This window comes from Homo sapiens, chromosome 5 (assembly GCF_000001405.40).
Source record: "Homo sapiens chromosome 5, GRCh38.p14 Primary Assembly".
Classification (NCBI taxonomy): Eukaryota; Metazoa; Chordata; class Mammalia; order Primates; family Hominidae; genus Homo; species Homo sapiens.
Window position 1 is genome coordinate 115669366 of NC_000005.10, and position 18435 is coordinate 115687800.

General features: G+C 38.1%; 1 long non-coding RNA gene across 1 annotated transcript in view, besides 2 other annotated features; it reads right to left on the reverse strand.

The window, feature by feature from the left end:
• LOC102467217 (uncharacterized) overlaps positions 1–3287 on the reverse strand; it is a 30528-nt gene extending 27241 nt beyond the window's left edge. Inside the window, exon 1 of the long non-coding RNA NR_104674.1 lies at positions 3099–3287. This is a non-coding gene — a long non-coding RNA (uncharacterized LOC102467217). The remainder of the gene's footprint in view (positions 1–3098) is intronic.
• Positions 5042–5542: an enhancer, noted in NCBI's record as "H3K4me1 hESC enhancer chr5:115010104-115010604 (GRCh37/hg19 assembly coordinates)". NCBI's record gives its function as "activates a minimal SCP1, AML or CMV promoter by ChIP-STARR-seq in primed H9 embryonic stem cells {active_cell/tissue: H9 hESC(primed)}" and the evidence as "EXISTENCE:reporter gene assay evidence [ECO:0000049][PMID:30033119]".
• Positions 5543–6043: an enhancer, noted in NCBI's record as "H3K4me1 hESC enhancer chr5:115010605-115011105 (GRCh37/hg19 assembly coordinates)". NCBI's record gives its function as "activates a minimal SCP1, AML or CMV promoter by ChIP-STARR-seq in primed H9 embryonic stem cells {active_cell/tissue: H9 hESC(primed)}" and the evidence as "EXISTENCE:reporter gene assay evidence [ECO:0000049][PMID:30033119]".

Consider the following 18435-nt stretch of genomic DNA (forward strand, 5'->3'; position numbering starts at 1 on the left):
ATCAAAAAAGCAAAAGATCTGTACAATGAAAACTATAATACATTGATGTAAGAAATTGAAAAAGATGCAAAAAAAGGAAAGACATTTTTATGTTCATGGATTAGAAGAATCAATATTGTTAAAATGTCCATACTTCTCAAAGCAATCTACAGATTTAATGCAATCCTTATGAAAATACCAATGACATTCTTCACAGAAATAGAAAAAAATCCCAAAATTTATATGAAATTAAAAAGACCCAGAATATCCAAAAGCATCTTAAGCAAAAAGAACAAAATTGGAGGAATCACATTACCTGACTTTAAATTATACTACAGAGCTATAATAACCAAAACAGAATGGTACTGGCATTAAAACAGACATATAGATTAGTGGAACAGAATAAAGAACCTAGAGATAAATCCATATGTCTACAGTGAACTCATTTTTGACAAAGATGAAAAGAACATACATTGAAGAAAGGACAGTTTCTTCAATAAATGGTGCTAAGAAAAATGAGTATCCATATGCAGAAGAATTAAACTAGACTCCTACCTCTTGCCATATATAAAAATCAAATCAAAATGAATTAAAGACTTAAATATAAGACATTAAACTATGAAACTACTACAACAAAACATTGGGAAAACTCTCCAGAACATTGATCTGGGCAAACATTTCTCAAGTAATATCCCACAAGCACAGGCACCCAAAGCAAAAATGGACAAATGGGATCACATTAAGTTAGCACATCAAAGGGCACAATCAACCAAGTGAAGAGACAATCACTGATTGGCTGATATCCAAAAGACAGGCAATAACAAATCCTGGCAAGGATGTGGAGAAAAGGAAACCCTTGTACACTGTTGATGGGAATGTAAATTAGTACAACCACTATGGAGTTTCCTCAAAAAACTAAAAATAGAGCTACCATATGATCCAGCAATCCCACTGCTAGGTATCTACCCAAAAGAAAGGAAATCAGCATATTGAAGAGATATCTGCACTCTTGTGTTTGCTTCAGCATTATTTACAATGGTTAAGATTTGGAAGCAGCTAAAGTGTTCATCAACAGATGAATGGATAAAGAAAAATGTGATACTTATACACAGTGAAGTACTATTACAGCCACAAAAAAGAATGCGATCCTGTTATTTGCAACAACATGGATGAAACTGGAAGCCATTATGCTAAGTGAAATAAACCAGGCACAGAAAGAAAAACATCACATGTTCTCACTTATTTTTGCAAGCTAAAAATCAAAACAACTGAACTCATGGAGATAGGGAGTAGAAGGATGGTTACAAGAGGCTGGGAAGGGTAGTGGAGGGGATGTGAGGATAGCTAATGGGTACAAAAAACAGAAAGGATGAATAAAACCTAGTATTTGCTAGCACAACAGGGTGAGTATAGTCAACAATAATTTAATTGTACATTTTAAAGCAACTAAAAGGGTATAATTGGATTGTTTGTAACACAAGAATAAATGTTTGACATGATGGATACCCCTGTTTTATGTGATGTGATTATTATGCATTGCATACCTATATCAAAGCATCTCATGTACCCCATAAATATATACACCCATTATGTACCCAAAAATAAAAATAAATACAAATAAAATTAAAAATTAAAAACAAAAACATCACAAAACTTCCAAATAAAGACTCCAAACATTTCTAATATTAAGGATTAAAATAAATGTGAGCTATACATACATTAAAGAAAGATGAATAAAAACAAGTATGATAATTATTTTTTTAGAAACTACAATGAGATATAATCTTAAATCTTACCCTGGTTTAAATGGCTTTTATCCAAAAGACAGGCAATAATGGATGCTGGTGAGGATGTGAAGAAACGGGATCCCTTGTATATTGTTGGTGGAAATGTAAATTAGTGCAACCACTATGGAGAAAGAACAGTTTGGGGGTTCCTCAGGAAACTAAAAATAGAGCTACCTTACGATCCAGCAATCCCACTCCTAGGTATATACCCAGAAGAAAAGAAATCAGAATATCAAAGAGATATTTGCACTCCCATGTTTATTGCAGCACTATTCAAAATAGCCAAGATTTGGAAGCAACTTAAGTGTCCATCAACAGACAAATGGATAAAGACAATGTGGTCCATATACACAATGAAGTACTACAAAGCCATAAAAAGAATGAGATCCTGTCATTTAAACCAACATGGATGGGACTTGATTGAGGTTATCATGTCAAGTGAAATAAGCCAAACCCAGAAAAACAGACTTCACATGTTCTCACTTATTTGTGGGAGCTAAAAACTAAAATAATTGAACTCATGAAGACAGAGTAGAAGGATGGTTACCAGAGGGTGTGAAGAGTAGTGAAAAGTGGTGGGGTGTGGGCACTGAAACGGTTAATGGGTATGAAAAGTTAGAAAGAATGGCTAAGACCTAGTATTTGCTAGTACAACAGGGTGACTATAGTCAAAAATAATTTAAGTGTACATTTTAAAATAACTAAAAGTGTATAATTGGATTGTTTGTAACACAAAGGATAAATGCTTGAGGTGATGGATACCCCATCTGCCCTGATGTGATTTTTATGCATTGCATGCCTGCATCAAAATATCTTATGTAATCTGTAAATATATACATGTACTATGTACCCAGAAAAATTTTTTACATCAGAAAACAATGCCAAAGAAAGGAATACTGGCAACTAATGATCTCAAGCCACAATGCTAAACCCTCTCCTAACTCTGTCCTCAGTCAGCAGTTGAGTTTCGGCCTGACTTCACTGAGAAAATCCAAGTCATTGCAGGAGCAAACCCTTAACTGACTCACCCAGCCACATATAAATACATCTCATTTGCAGCTCACCCTCCTTATCTTCTTTTATGCTTTCTCAGTAAAAGAGCTGTCATTCCTTCAGAAAAAGAGTAATTTCTCCACTTTAGTTTTGATCCTGGCCCCCTACCCCACCTGAGGTAGCTTTATTGATCATTCTCTCTTTTCCTCATGACTTGCCTGTTCCACTAACTCATTCTTCCACAGTAAATATTTAGTAAACAATCAATTTTTGTTCCACACCACATTTTCTCCACCTTTTTTTTCTGGGAAAATCTCTGCATTTCTTAGAAAATGCCACCTGTAATGACCAAGTGGCTGTGTCCTCTGCCATGGTCTTATATAATCCTGTATGCTAGTCACAGTTAATTTTCCAGGGAAACATTCCAGGGAATAAAGTGAAGGTGAGACCCCCAAGGTCCTGAGTATTCATTCACAGGTGACATATCTTCAGAAAAATATCAAAGCTCTTCCCCTGAGAGAATCAGATGAGCTGGTTTTTTGTTCTAAACAGAGGAGAGAAGAAAACCAAAAACAGAGAAGAGAATCAAGAGGAGAAACAAGATGAAGACCAGCTAGCACGAGGTGAAAAGTGTGGGCCAAACTCCAAGGTTGTGGAGGAGGGGAGGAGAAGAAGAGGATAAAGCAAGGAGAGAGATGGGTGAAGACTATTTTAAGCACAGAAGCTTATTCCTTTATTTGAAAGTGTTTGTTTACTGTCATATCACTCCTCTGTCTTCCCATAAATCTTCATGAAACATTTTTCTGAGGGGATTTTGTTGTCGATGATTTTAAAAGAGGGCAGAGGCTCACTCACATCTGCATTGCTGTGGCACAGCACAGAGATCTCTCACACAAAAGAGAGAATCAAAGGAAAGAGGTCATGAGATGGTAAAGTGTGGCCCACCTGCATTCCACCCCCAGAAATTTATAGAAATTATGGGAAGAGCTTTGAACTCATGGAAGGCATGGAATCAAGTCAATCTTACTATTTTCTCTAAAAAGACAGAAAGAAGGCTCTGATGATGCTGTCATATGTCCCAGTACATAAATGGTAACTCACAGATAGTTCTAAAGCAGTGATTCTCAAAATAAAATTTGTCAGACATGAATGGGACTTGAGGCTCCTCTTCTTATAAGTCTTTGATTCTTATGGGGGCTAATGTATAATTATATAAACTTATATCACTGAGTAAATACTAAGGATTCCTAAATTGCGTGGTCATAACATAAAATTCGCCAGTTGCCAGAGTTTACTGAAGACTCTATTACAAAGCATCTGGCTGCCACTGAATGCTATAAAATTCTCATTGTGCCTGTTGCCCAGAAACATTAGAATTTCCATAATTCTCAGACTGGACTATATTATCTGTACCATCAATGTTAGCATGAGTGGGTCACAGTTTCAATTGCTGCTATTCCTGAACTAATAAATATAAATTCATAAGTTTTACTTTTGTGGGTCATTTTGTTTTTGTGTAATTGCTGCAACGTTACCATTTTGATTTTAATTTTGGCCCTCTCCAAGTCTTTGTTATCATCAAGTTCTTCTTTCCAGTGGGAGATGGGAACAGCTTGAGTAAGTAGACTGTGGCACCTTTTGTCCTACATTGGCAGAAGTTCAAGCAATTTAAAAGCTACCAAACTGAGTAGCTTTCAGTAACAGCTTTGTAAGCAGTTTTTCATTCTGTGCTTCAAATAGACTGATGCTGGAGAATAGGAAAGTTGTGTTCAGTTTCACTTTGGAAAAGTTGGTAACCACAGTCTGATGCAGCCTTTCATTTGTTTCTCTAGGTTCAGTAGTAATGTCTCCTCTTTTATGCCTGATTTTAGTAAGTTTAGTCTTCTGTATTCTTTTTCTTGACCAGCTAAAGATTTGCCTATTTTTGTTAATCTTTTCAAATACACAACTTTTGGTTTTATTATTACCTTTCTCCTGCTTGTTTTAGATTTAGCTGCTCTTGAGTGTTTTAAGGTGCTTCTAATGGTAAGGCTGTTGATATGAGCTCTTATTTCTTTTTTAATATAGGCATTTATAAATTTGCCTTTATGCATTAGTTTCGTGGCATCCCATATGTTTTGATATGTTATGCCTTCATTTTTATTCATCTTAGAATATTTTTATTTTCTTTTGATTTCTTCTTTAATCCATTGGTATTTGGAACTGTCATTTAATTTCCACATTTTTGTAAGTTTTCCAGTTTTTTTCTGTTATTGATTTCTAATTGTATTTTATTGTGATTGGAGAACATATTTTGTATTATTTCAATCCTTTTATATTTATGTTTTATGGCATAACACGTAGTTTGTACTAGAGAATGGTTCATAGGCACTTGAGAAGAATAGATATTCTGCTGGAGGAGCCAAGATGGCCGAATAGCAACAGCTCTGGTCTACAGCTCCCAGCGTGAGTGACGCAGAAGACAGGTGATTTCTGAATTTCCATCTGAGGTACCGGGTTCATCTCACTAGGGAGTGCCAGACAGTGGGTGCAGGTCAGTGGGTGCAGCGCACCGTGCGTGAGCAGAAGCAGGGTGAGGCATTGCCTCACTCGGGAAGCGCAAGGAGTTAGGGAGTTCACTTTCCTAGTCAAAGAAAGGGGTGACAGACGGCACCTGGAAAATCGGGTCACTCCCACCCGAATACTGCGCTTTTCAGATGGGCTTAAAAAATGGCGCACCAGGAGATTATATCCTGCACCTGGCTCGGAAGGTCCTACGCCCATGGAGTCTCACTGATTGCTAGCACAGCAGTCTGAGATCAAACTGCAAGGCTGCAGCGAGGCTGGGGGAGGGGCGCCTGCCATTGCCCAGGCTTGCTTACGTAAACAAAGCAGCCAGAAAGCTCCAACTGGGTGGAGCTCACCACAGCTCAAGGAGGCCTGCCTGCCTCTGTAGACTCCACCTCTGGGGGCAGGGCACAGACAAACGAAAAGACAGCAGTAACCTCTACAGACTTAAATGTCCCTGTCTGACAGCTTTGAAAAGAGCAGTGGTTCTCCCAGCACGCAGCTGGAGATCTGAGAACGGGCAGACTGCCTCCTCAGGTGGGACCCTGACCCCTGACCCCTCAGCAGCCTAACTGGGAGGCACCCCCCAGTAGGGACAGACTGACACCTCACACGGCCGGGTACTCCTCTGAGACAAAACTTCCAGAGGAACAATCAGACAGCAGCATTCGCGGTTCACGAAAAACCACTGTTCTGCAGACACCGCTGCTGATACCCAGGCAAACAGGGTCTGGAGTGGACCTCTAGCAAACTCCAACAGACCTGCAGCTGAGGGTCCTGTCTGTTAGAAGGAAAATTAACAAACAGAAAGGACATCCACACCAAAAACCCATCTGTACATCACCATCATCAAAGACCAAAAGTAAATAAAACCACAAAGATGGGGAAAAAACAGAGCAGAAAAACTGGAAACTCTAAAAAGCAGAGCACCTCTCCTCCTCCAAAGGATCACAGTTCCTCAGCAGCAATGGAACAAAGCTGGACAGAGAATGACTTTGATGAGTTGAGAGAAGAAGGCTTCAGCCGATCAAACTACGAGATACAGGAGGAAATTCAAACCCAAGGCAAAGAAGTTAAAAACTTTGAAAAAAATTTAGATGAATGTATAACTAGAATAACCAATACAGAGAAGTGCTTAAAGGAGCTGATGGAGCTGAAAGCCAAGGCACGAGAACTATGTGAAGAATGCAGAAGGCTCAGGAGCCGACGTGATCAACTGGAAGAAAGGGTATCAGCGATGGAAGATGAAATGAATGAAATGAAGCGAGAAGGGAAGTTTAGAGAAAAAAGAATAAAGAGAAACAAACAAAGCCTCCAAGAAATATGGGACTATGTGAAAGACCAAATCTACGTCTGATTGGTGTAACTGAAAGTGACGGGGAGAATGGAACCAAGTTGGAAAACACTCTGCAGGACATTATCCTGGAGAACTTCCCCAATCTAGCAAGGCAGGCCAACATTCAGATTCAGGAAATACAGAGAACGCCACAAAGATATTCCTCGAGAAGAGCAACTCCAAGACACATAATTGTCACATTTGCCAAAGTTGAAATGAATGAAAAAATGTTAAGGGCAGCCAGAGAGAAAGGTCGGGTTACCCACAAAGGGAAGCCCATCAGACTAACAGCGGATCTCTCGGCAGAAACTCTACAAGCCAGGAGAGAGTGGGGGCCAATATTCAACATTCTTAAAGAAAAGAATTTTCAACCCAGAATTTCATATCCAGCCAAACTAAGCTTTATAAGTGAAGGAGAAATAAAATCCTTTACAGACAAGCAAATGCTGAGAGATTTTGTCACCACCAGGCCTGCCCTAAAAGAGCTCCTGAAGGAAGCACTAAACATGGAAAGGAAAAACCGGTACCAGCCACTGCAAAATCATGCCAAAATGTAAAGACCATAGAGACTAGGAAGAAACTGCATCAACTAATGAGCAAAATAACCAGCTAACATCATAATGACAGGATCAAATTCACACATAACAATATTAACTTTAAATGTAAATGGACTGAATGCTCCAATTAAAAGACACGGACTGGCAAATTGGATAAAGAGTCAAGACCCATCAGTGTGTTGTATTCAGGAAACCCATCTCACATGCAGAGACACACGTAGGCTCAAAATAAAAGGATGGAGGAAGATCTACCAAGCAAATGGAAAACAAGAAAAGGCAGGGGTTGCAATCCTAGTCTCTGATAAAACAGACTTTAAACCAACAAAGATCAAAAGAGACAAAGAAGGCCATTGGTAAAGGGATCAATTCAACAAGAAGAGCTAACTCTCCTAAATATCTATGTACCCAATACAGGAGCACCCAGATTCATAAAGCAAGTCCTGAGTGACCTACAAAGAGACTTAGACTCCCACACATTAATAATGGGAGACTTTAACACCCCACTGTCAACATTAGACAGATCAACGAGACAGAAAATCAACAAGGATACCCAGGAATTGAACTCGGCTCTGCACCAAGCGGACCTAATCCGCTGTTCTGTAGACATCTACAGATGTCTGTAGATGGTAGACATCTACAGAACTCTCCACCCCAAATCAATAGAATATACATTTTTTTAGCCCCACACCACACCTATTCCAAAATTGACCACATACTTGGAAGTAAAACTCTCCTCAAAAAATGCAAAAGAACAGAAATTATAACAAACTATCTCTCAGACCACAGTGCAATCAAACTAGAACTCAGGATTAAGAAACTCACTCAAAACTGCTCAACTACATGGAAACTGAACCACCTGCTCCTGAATGACTACTGGGTACATAACGAAATGAAGGCAGAAATGAAGATGTTCTTTGAAACCAACGAGAACAAAGACACAACATACCAGAATCTCTGGGACACATTCAAAGCAGTGTATAGAGGGAAATTTCTAGCACTAAATGCCCACAAGAGAAAGCAGGAAAGATCTAAAATGGACACCCTAACATCACAATTAAAAGAACTAGAAAAGCAAGAGCAAACACATTCAAAAGCTAGCAGAAGGCAAGAAATAACTAAAATCAAAGAAGAACTGAAGGAAATAGAGACACAAAAAACCCTTCAAGAAATTAATGAATCCAAGAGCTGGTTTTTTGAAAGGATCAACAAAATTGATAGACCACTAGCAAGACTAACAAAGAAAAAAAGAGAGAAGAATCAAATAGACGCAATAAAAAATTGATAAAGAGGATATGACCACCGATCCCACAGAAATACAAACTACCATCAGAGAATACTACAAACACCTCTACGCAAATAAACTAGAAAATCTAGAAGAAATGGATAAATTCCTCGACACATACACTCTCCCAAGACTAAACCAGGAAGAAGTTGAATCTCTGAATAGACCAATAACAGGATCTGAAATTGTGTCAATAATCATTAGCTTACCAACCAAAAAGAGTCCAGGACCAGATGGATTCACAGCCGGATTCTACCAGAGGTACAAGGAGGAACTGGTACTATTCCTTCTGAAACTATTCCAATCAATAGAAAAAGAGGGAATCCTCCCTAACTCATTTTATGAGGCCAGCATCATCCTGATACCAAAGCCTGGCAGAGACACAACCAAACAGGAGAATTTTAGACCAATATCCTTGATGAACATTGATGCAAAAATCCTCAATAAAATACTAGCAAACTGAATCCAGCAGCACATCAAAAAGCTTATCCACTATGATCAAGTGGGCTTCATCCCTGGGATGCAAGGCTGGTTCAATACATGCAAATCAATAAATGTAATCCAGCATATAAACAGAACCAAAGACAAAAACCACATGATTATCTCAATAGATGCAGAAAAGGCCTTTGACAAAATTCAACAACCTTCATGCTAAAAACTCTCAATAAATTAGGTATTGATGGGACATATCTCAAAATAATAACAGCTATCTATGACAAACCCACAGCCAATATCATACTGAATGGACAAAAACTGGAAGCATTCCCTTTGAAAACTGGCACAAGACAGGGATGCCCTCTCTCACCACTCCTATTCAACATAGTGTTGGAAGTTCTGGCCAGGGCAATTAGGCAGGAGAAGGAAATAAAGGGTATTCAATTAGGAAAAGAGGAAGTCAAATTATCCCTGTTTGCAGACGACATGATTGTATACCTAGAAAACCCCATTGTCTCAGCCCAAAATCTCCTTAAGCTGATAAGCAACTTCAGCAAAGTCTCAGGATACAAAATCAATGTACAAAAATCACAAGCATTCTTATACACCAATAACAGACAAACAGAGAGCCAAATCATGAGTGAACTCCCATTCACAATTGCTTCAAAGAGAATAAAATACCTAGGAATCCACCTTACAAGGGACGTGAAGGACCACTTCAAGGAGAACTACAAACCACTGCTCAATGAAATTAAAGAGGATAAAAACAAATGGAAGAACATTCCATGCTCATGGGCAGGAAGAATCAATATCGTGAAAATGGCCATACTGCCCAAGGTAATTTATAGAGTCAATGCCATCCCCATCAAGCTACCAATGACTTTCTTCACAGAATTGGAAAAAACTACTTTAAAGTTCTTATGGAACCAAAAAATAGCCTGCATCACCAAGTCAATCCTAAGCCAAAAGAACAAAGCTGGAGGCATCACCCTACCTGACTTCAAACTATACTATAAGGCTACAGTAACCAAAACAGCATGGTACTGGTACCAAAACAGAGATATAGATCAATGGAACAGAACAGAGCCCTCAGAAATAACGCCGCTTATCTACAACTATCTGATCTTTGACAAACCTGACAAAAACAAGCAATGGGGAAAAGATTCCCTATTTAATAAATGGTGCTGGGAAAACTGGCTAGCCATATGTAGAAAGCTGAAACTGGATCCCTTCCTTACATCTTATACAAAAATCAATTCAAGATGGATTGAAGACTTAAACGTTAGACCTAAAACCATAAAAACCCTAGAAGAAAACCTAGGCAATACCATTTAGGACATAGGCATGGGCAAGGACTTCATGTCTAAAACACCAGAAGCAATGGCAACAAAAGCCAAAATTGACAAATGGGATCTAATTAAACTAAAGAGCTTCTGCACAGCAAAAGAAACTACCATCAGAGAGAACAGGTAACCCGCAAAATGGGAGAAAATTTTTGCAACCTACTCATCTGACAAAGGGCTAATATCCAGAATCTACAATGAACTCAAACAAATTTACAAGAAAAAAACAAACAACCCCATCAAAAAGTGGGCGAAGGACATGAACAGACACTTCTCAAAAGAAGACATTTATGCAGCCAAAAACACATGAAAAAATGCTCACCATCACTGGCCATCAGAGAAATGCAAATCAAAACCACAATGAGATATCATCTCACACCAGTTAGAATGGCAATCATTCAAAAGTCAGGAAACAACAGGTGCTGGAGAGCATGTGGAGAAATAGGAACACTTTTACACTGTTGGTGGCACTGTAAACTAGTTCAACCATTGTGGAAGTCAGTGTGGCGATTCCTCAGGGATCTAGAACTAGAAATACCATTTGACCCAGCCATCCCATTACTGGGTATATACCCAAAGGACTATAAATCATGCTGCTATAAAGACACATGCACATGTATGTTTATTATGGCACTATTCACAATAGCAAAGACTTGGAACCAACCCAAATGTCCAACAATGATAGACTGGATTAAGAAAATGTGGCACATATACACCATGGAATACTATGCAGCCATAAAAAATGATGAGTTCATGTCCTTCGTAGGGACATGGATGAAATTGGAAATCATCATTCTCAGTAAACTATCACAAGGACAAAAAACCAAACACCGCATGTTCTCACTCACAGGTGGGAATTGAACAATGAGAACACATGGACACAGGAAGGGGAACATCACACTCTGGGGACTGTTTTGGGGTGGGGGGAGGGGGGAGGGATAGCACTGGGAGATATACCTAATGCTAGATGATGAGTTAGTGGGTGCAGCGCACCAGCATGGCACATGTATACATATGTAACTAACCTGCACATTGTGCACATGTACCCTAAAACTTAAAGTATAATAATAAAAAAAAAAGAATAGATATTCTGCTGCTGTGAAGTGTTCAATAGAGTATCTGTTAGGCCTAGTGGATTTACAGTGTTGTGGAAGTCTTCTTGAACTAGTCTGCTGAGATGTTCTATCCATTATTTTTTTCAGAGATAAATGACTTTATTATTCACAGTGCAACAAGCAGCATAAGCATCAGCACATTTACTTTGGTTTTCTGAGTCTCATTTCCCACAGAACAATGCAAAGCAGGTTAGTCCATACTTGCAGGAATAATAGGGTGTGTTATAGGAGAGAAACCCCAAGCTTAGGGAAGCTGGATCTTTTATAACAGGCAGTGAGCCTACCTGAACTTTGCTCCAGAAGGAAACACTATGTTGCTTGTTAGCGAGTAAATAAATTTGCCTTTTGATCCCAGAAAACCATAACTTCTATTTCCCAAGATTATTTTCTATACAAACGTTAAAAAATATATGGTTCTGAACAAAGAAAATTAGAGCCTCTGCAAGACAGGTAGAAGTGTGAGAGACTCATGAAGAACTGTCTCTCAACAATTACCTAAATCTTTCTCATCATTAAAAAAGAAAACACGCCCTGACTCTCTTTCCCCTCCAGTTACTCCTTTGTCTTAATCAGTTTGGGCTGCTATAACAAAAATAACACAGACTGAGTGTCTTAAACAACAGAAATCTATTTCTCCCAATTTTTGAGGCTGAAAAGTCCAAGATCAAGGTGCTGGCTAATTCAGTTCTTGGTGAGAGCTCTCTTCCTAGTTTGCCTATGGAGGATTTACTGCTGCAACCTCACATGGCAGAGAGAGGGATCCTGTCTCTCATGTCTCTTCTTACAATGGCATTACTCCCATTCATGAGGGTTTCAACCTCATGATCCAATTACCTCCTAAATGTCCACCTCCAAACACCGTCATTTTGGGGATGAGGGCTTCAACATATAAATTTTGGGAAGACACGAACATTAACTTCATAGCACGTCGCTATCCTTTTTTTTTACACAACAAAATATCTCAAAGTGTTTCTATTTTTTTAAATCACCCAATCCCTTTGCAAGCCACACATTTTGGATTTCACTGAGACTCCTGAATCCAAGGGATCCTTTGCATTCTTATTTAACTTGTTACTGTCATAAATTTTCACACTCATGACAACTTCCTCCTTCTTGAGACTCTCTATTTCCCCTAGTTTTTTCTAAAACGAAATGCTTGTATCTTCCTTCTTCCTGCTTCTTCCCTTCCTCTTCCTTTTATTGAAATATAATTCATATAACATGAAATTAATCATTTTAAAGTGTATAATTTAATAGTTTTTAATATATTCATTTTATTGTACAACGATTACCACATGTAATTTCAGCACATTTCCATCATCCCCAAAAGAAACCTCATACCCCTTAGCAGTCAGTCTTAATTTTCTCCTCCCATCATCCTTGGAAAATTCTCATCTACTCTCTGTTCCTATGAATTTGCCTATTTCAGATATTCCATGTAAATGAAATTACACGGTATATGTGTATGGTCTTTTGTGACTAGCTTTTTTCACTTAGCATTATACTTTCTAGGTTCATCTGTGTTGTAGCATGTACTGGTAGACATTTCTCTTTAAAGTTGAATAATATTGCATTGTATAGATATGCTATGTTTTGTTTACCCGTTCATCAATTGATGGACACTTGGGTTGAATCTATTTTTTGGCTATCAGATAATGCTGCTATGACATTTGTGTGAATGTTTTCAGTTATTTTGGGTTATACTCATTATTGAAAATAGATTACTGAAGTCTCTGTGAATTATTGTTGTCTATTTCTCCTTTAATTCTGTCAGTTTTTCTCCATGTATTTTGGTCTTTGTTGTTAGGTACTTATAAGTTTTAATTGTTATCTTCCTGCTGGGTTGACCATAAAATATCAATCTTTATCTTTAGTAACATTTTTTTACTGTCAATTTCGTTTCATATCACATAGCCACTCCAGCTGTCTTTGGTTGCTATTTGCATGATACATCTTTTTCCATCTTTTTATTTTCAACCTATTTGTATGTTTGAATATAAAGTATGTTTATTATAGACAGGATATAGTAGGATCTTGTTTTTGATTGGATTGTTTAATTCATTCACATTTAATGTTACTACTGATATAATTGGATTTACATCTGACATTCTACTTTTTGTTTTCTATATGCTTCATCTCTTTTCCCTCCCACTGATCCCCTTAACTGTTTTCTTTTAAGTGAATATTTTTAGTATAACATTTTAGTTCTTTAAAATAATTTTTTAATTTTTTTGCATTATTTTCATAGTAGCAGACTTACCATATGCATTTTATGCTTCAGAATCTACTTCTAGGTTTACACCAACTTAATTTTATCTTCTTCCCCCTTTTTGTGTTATGATTGTTATATATATTACATACATATTATATAATATATAAATGTAATATATATCTATTCCAAGTGTTATCTATCTGTCTATCTATTTATCTACCTGTCATCTATTTATCTGTCTCAGCTTTCCTCTCCCAGTGGATCTATGAACAATGCTGACTTGTCCTGGCATTGATGTGTGACAATGTGCACTCAACTGTAAACCTCTGGAAGACAGAGACCATGTCCATAGTGTTTCCTGCTACAGCCACTGAGTTACCACGCTTAATAAAGCTGAAGCAATAATGCATAGTGGTTAAAAGTGCCACCTACAGTCCAACAGACCTGGATTTACAGTGTCTCTGCTATCTACTAGTGTAGTGACATCCAGCATGTTACATAGCTTCTCTGTGCCTCATTTTCCTCATCTATCTGTGATATTGTAATGCTGTCATGCTTATTACTTGTCTGACATATTGTTTGTGTTCAGAGCTGTTCCCTTTTATCTTATCTGTTGGAGAAGTTAACTGAAGCTTCAGCACAATCTGGCCCATTATTTTACTTTTATGCAATGAATGTTTGGGGTTTTGACCATTTTTTCCTTCCCATTTGGTACCCATTTTTTAACATTAAAAACAAAATGAAACAGAATTAAAGTTTCAGAAAGAAACAAAATTCATAACGAGATCAGTTTTCAGTCGTTTAGTGGTCTTTTGGTCACAGCCAGAAATGCCCAAGCTAAGAGCCCACCTGTGATCACTGACAGCCCCCACCTCAGGCAGCTTGGCTTTCCTCAACCCCGAATCTGGCTCAGGGTCACTGTGTTCTCTAACCATAGAGGGATTTTGTTCCTTTGCTTCACCTGCAAGCAAGCTGATTTATAATTTGTCCCTTAGTATTGGGGGGTGGGAAAAGGACGCACAAGAGCTGACTAGATTACAGCTATTTTTGAGAGCATTTCTCTGTATGTTTAATATTAAATGCTAATGGAGAGAATGCTAAGATGAGAAAATTGCCAAATGTGAGATGCTGTTGTGGAAATCACTCAGAAAGAACCATAGTAATATTCAAAATGAAGATGTCTTCTTCCAGTCTTCTGGTGCCATAACTAAACCAGCCCAATTTGGTAAGTAAAAATTGGGATCTTGTCATATTAATTTGTATTTCCATGACTACTAATGAGGTGGAGTGGATTTCGATATATTTATTGGCCATCTTTTCTCTCCTATTAATTATCTGTTTATATTGTTTGATTCTTGCCCATTTTTCTCTATTGAGTTTGTCCCTGTTGCATTTGTTTGATCACTACTTATGAATATATTCAGAATATTTCTTTTTCTGATCTATAAAATATAAATATTTTTCCTGTCCGTTAACTTTTAACCTTTTCTTGCATCTGAATTTTCCTGAGGATATTGTCAATACTAATTCTAAGTCTCATTTAATTTGCTTCATAACTATATAGAGTATAAGTAAATAGCGTAACTATATTTACTCTCCAGGGCAATTCTGACTTTTGAATTTGCCCTTGGCTGGTTTCAGATGTTTGATGACCCTCTTTTGTGTCTCTATTTGAGAACTCCCTTTTGTCTGTCTAGTTCCATAGATGTATTACCAGGCTTCATGCACTGACTGGGGAGGTGTTGACCATTGGCTGTCTTCCAGATGAGGGTGCTTCCCTGTCTTCCTGGATGTCACCAGCTTTCTGGTATTATCTGCAGCCCAAGAGTCATCACTCTCTTCTCTCACCTAGGAACAGATACCTCTCTTGTTTGCTTCTGGTCCATGGGAATGAGATGGAATGGAAAAAAGAAGCTGATCAGCATGGCTCCTCCTCCCACCATCCCTGAGCAATTACCCTTTTGGTTGCCTCAGGGTCCAGCTGCTCCACTGCCTGCCACCTCTGAGACTGGGGCATCTCAGGATCCCTGGCACCTTTTGCCACAATGTCATTGCAAAGGTTTGGGGTATGGCTCTTTCTGCCTTCTATCTTCCAGGACTTTTTCAGCTTCTGATTCACTACGGCAACTCTAACTGTTTTGTTCCAACACAGGTATAGAGTTTTAAAAAATTATTTTCTCTTGTCATGTCTAAAAATTTGAAATACAAGACAGAGACTCCTTTGCTTTACACATTTGCTTCACTATTTCCTTCCCTCGATCACCTGATAGTTTTATTCTAATCTACTGGTAACATCCTTTAGGCATTGGCTTAGGTGCTGAGATGGTCTGTGGCTCTCTGAAATTATAAAGCAAAATTTTATATATCTGTAAACACTTGCATTTTCCTAGAGCGTAGGCTGGTAATTCTTGTTTTCAAAGAAAGCCATGAATCAAAGAGGCTAATGATTGCACAAAAACAAAAGACGGTAAGACAATGATTTCACAATTGTATAAGTCTTGCCTGGAATTTTAGATTTCCTTTCAAATTCTATTTTAGGATCTGATTACTTTTGATCCAGGGAGTAAAAAGTGAGAATCTGCTACGGCCTCAGCTGATTTTCCACATAGGTTTGGAACTGCTTTATGGGAATAATCTGTGTAATCACTTTTAGTCAAACCAGAAGAGAGAGGAAAGATAAGAAGTTAAGAATCCAGTCAAGGTAAGCCTGAGCCAGCAGCACCCTAGAATCCCACAGCATGCACTCAGCCCCTACAGTGGCCAGCAGCCAGGTGCTAGTTGCTTTGCCTTCTCAACTCTTTGTTTCCCTTGGCAATGACTTCTTAGAGAGGTCCCCCTGCAGAAGTGATTGCAATTGCAAATTAAGAAAATGGATGAGAGAAAATAATTATTTTCTTCCATTCTCCGAATAAGGCATGAGGTTAAGCATATGAGAGAACAAAATAAACCAATTCCAGCATGTAAATGATCAGCATCTATTTTAATAACTACACTTGGGATTCTGTAAATATAATGAATAGTAGTATATGGCTTTTGGAAACCATTTAATGGATCCTTATCAGCAGCCTACAGACAGGATCTGAATGGTCACAGCTTTGGATAATGGGACACAATTTAGGAATTGAGGGAAAAACCAACTTTGCTAATCTCTAGAACAATCAAGAAAATGTGTGGAATTTATAAATAACAGTGGAGGGAAAGCATGAGCTGCCAGAAAGCTGCTATTCCTCTGCTTGGCTTTTAGCAGAGGCTGAGGAATTTGCTTGGGTTGTTTGGGAAATTCTTGTGATACTTATAATATAATCAGGCAGAGGTTTTCTTTTTTTAATATATTTCTGCTTGCCTGCCAAATGCTAATGATTGCTGGATGCTAATTGTCTACAGCAGTTGTTAAATGAGTTTCCCTTCACATCTCCTCTGGGGGTATTTATAAAAGGGTAAGGAATCTATCAAGAAGTATGCTGTAGAAAGCAACAAATCCCCAATCTCCTTTCTACTCTGGAGGTACTGAGTTGAAAAGAGGCCAGGGATCTTCAGGCTCCACTTATTCCTGACATCACCCAGAACCTTGGCGAGGTTCCAAAGTCTTCAGGGTTGGAGGTTCCAACAACTCTGGGCTGGAGGTTGACTAGGTCCGGGAAAGCTTTTGCAGCCCGAAGACTTCTGCCTCTCTTACCTACTTCTCGGTATTCTCCATCCCTAACCCCTGTCAACCACTAATCTGTTTTCCATTCCTAACACGCTGTCCCTTCAAAAATGTTATATAAATGGAATCATATAATACCTAACCTTTTAGATTGACTTTTTTCACTCAGCATAATTCCCTGGAGAGGCATCCAAGTTGTATCCCATTTCAACAGTATTCCATGGTGTGTATGCACCACAGCTTGTTTAGTGACTCACCTATCCAGTTTGGGTTGTGATGAATAAAGCTGCTGTGTGAACATAAGTTTCCATTCCTTTGGACTGAATGCCCAAGAGTGCAATTGCTGGGTTGTAAGCTTTAGTTTTATAGGAAATTGTCAAATTATTTTCCAGTGTGGTTGTACCATTTTACATTCCTACCAGCAGCAGTTGGATCCGGTTTTTCCATGACCTGGTCAGTGTTTTCACTGTGCTTTATTTTAGCCATTCTGATATGTGTGCCATGACATTTAACTGTGATTTTAATTTTTATTTTTCTTATGGTGAATGATATTGAACATCATGTATGCCTTTTGACCACTTTCTAGTTGGATTGGTTGTTATTAGTGCTGAGTTTTGAGATTTCTTTTTATGTTCTAGATAACTGGTCCTTTGTTGAATTCATATAACTTTTAATATGTTGCTCAGGAAATACATGATTACATTTTCACTGTGAAAATAATATAATATTTAGCAACAAAATTTGAAAGTCCCCCTCACACCCTGCTATGTAATTTCACTCATGCCACTAAGGGTCACCTTTTTTCCCCAATTTTTAAAAATTATGTTAAAAATACACAACATAAGATTTACCATCTTACTCATTTTTAAGTGTAGTTCAGTGGTATTAAACACATTCATAATGTTGTATAACTATCAATACCATTCATCTCCAGAACTCTACCATCTTGTAAAACTGGAACTCTAGTAAATAACAACCCCCTTTTGCCCTCTCCTTTTATTCCCTAGCAATCATCATTTTACTGTCTCTCTTATGATTTTGATCACTCTAAGTTCTCTCATATAAGAGACTGTGACCGGCTTGCTTCACTAAGCACAATGTCCTCAAAGTTCAACCATGTTATAGCATATGTCAAAATTTTCTTCCTTTTTAAGGTTAAACAGTATTCTATTCAATGCAGATACCACATTTTGTTTATCCATT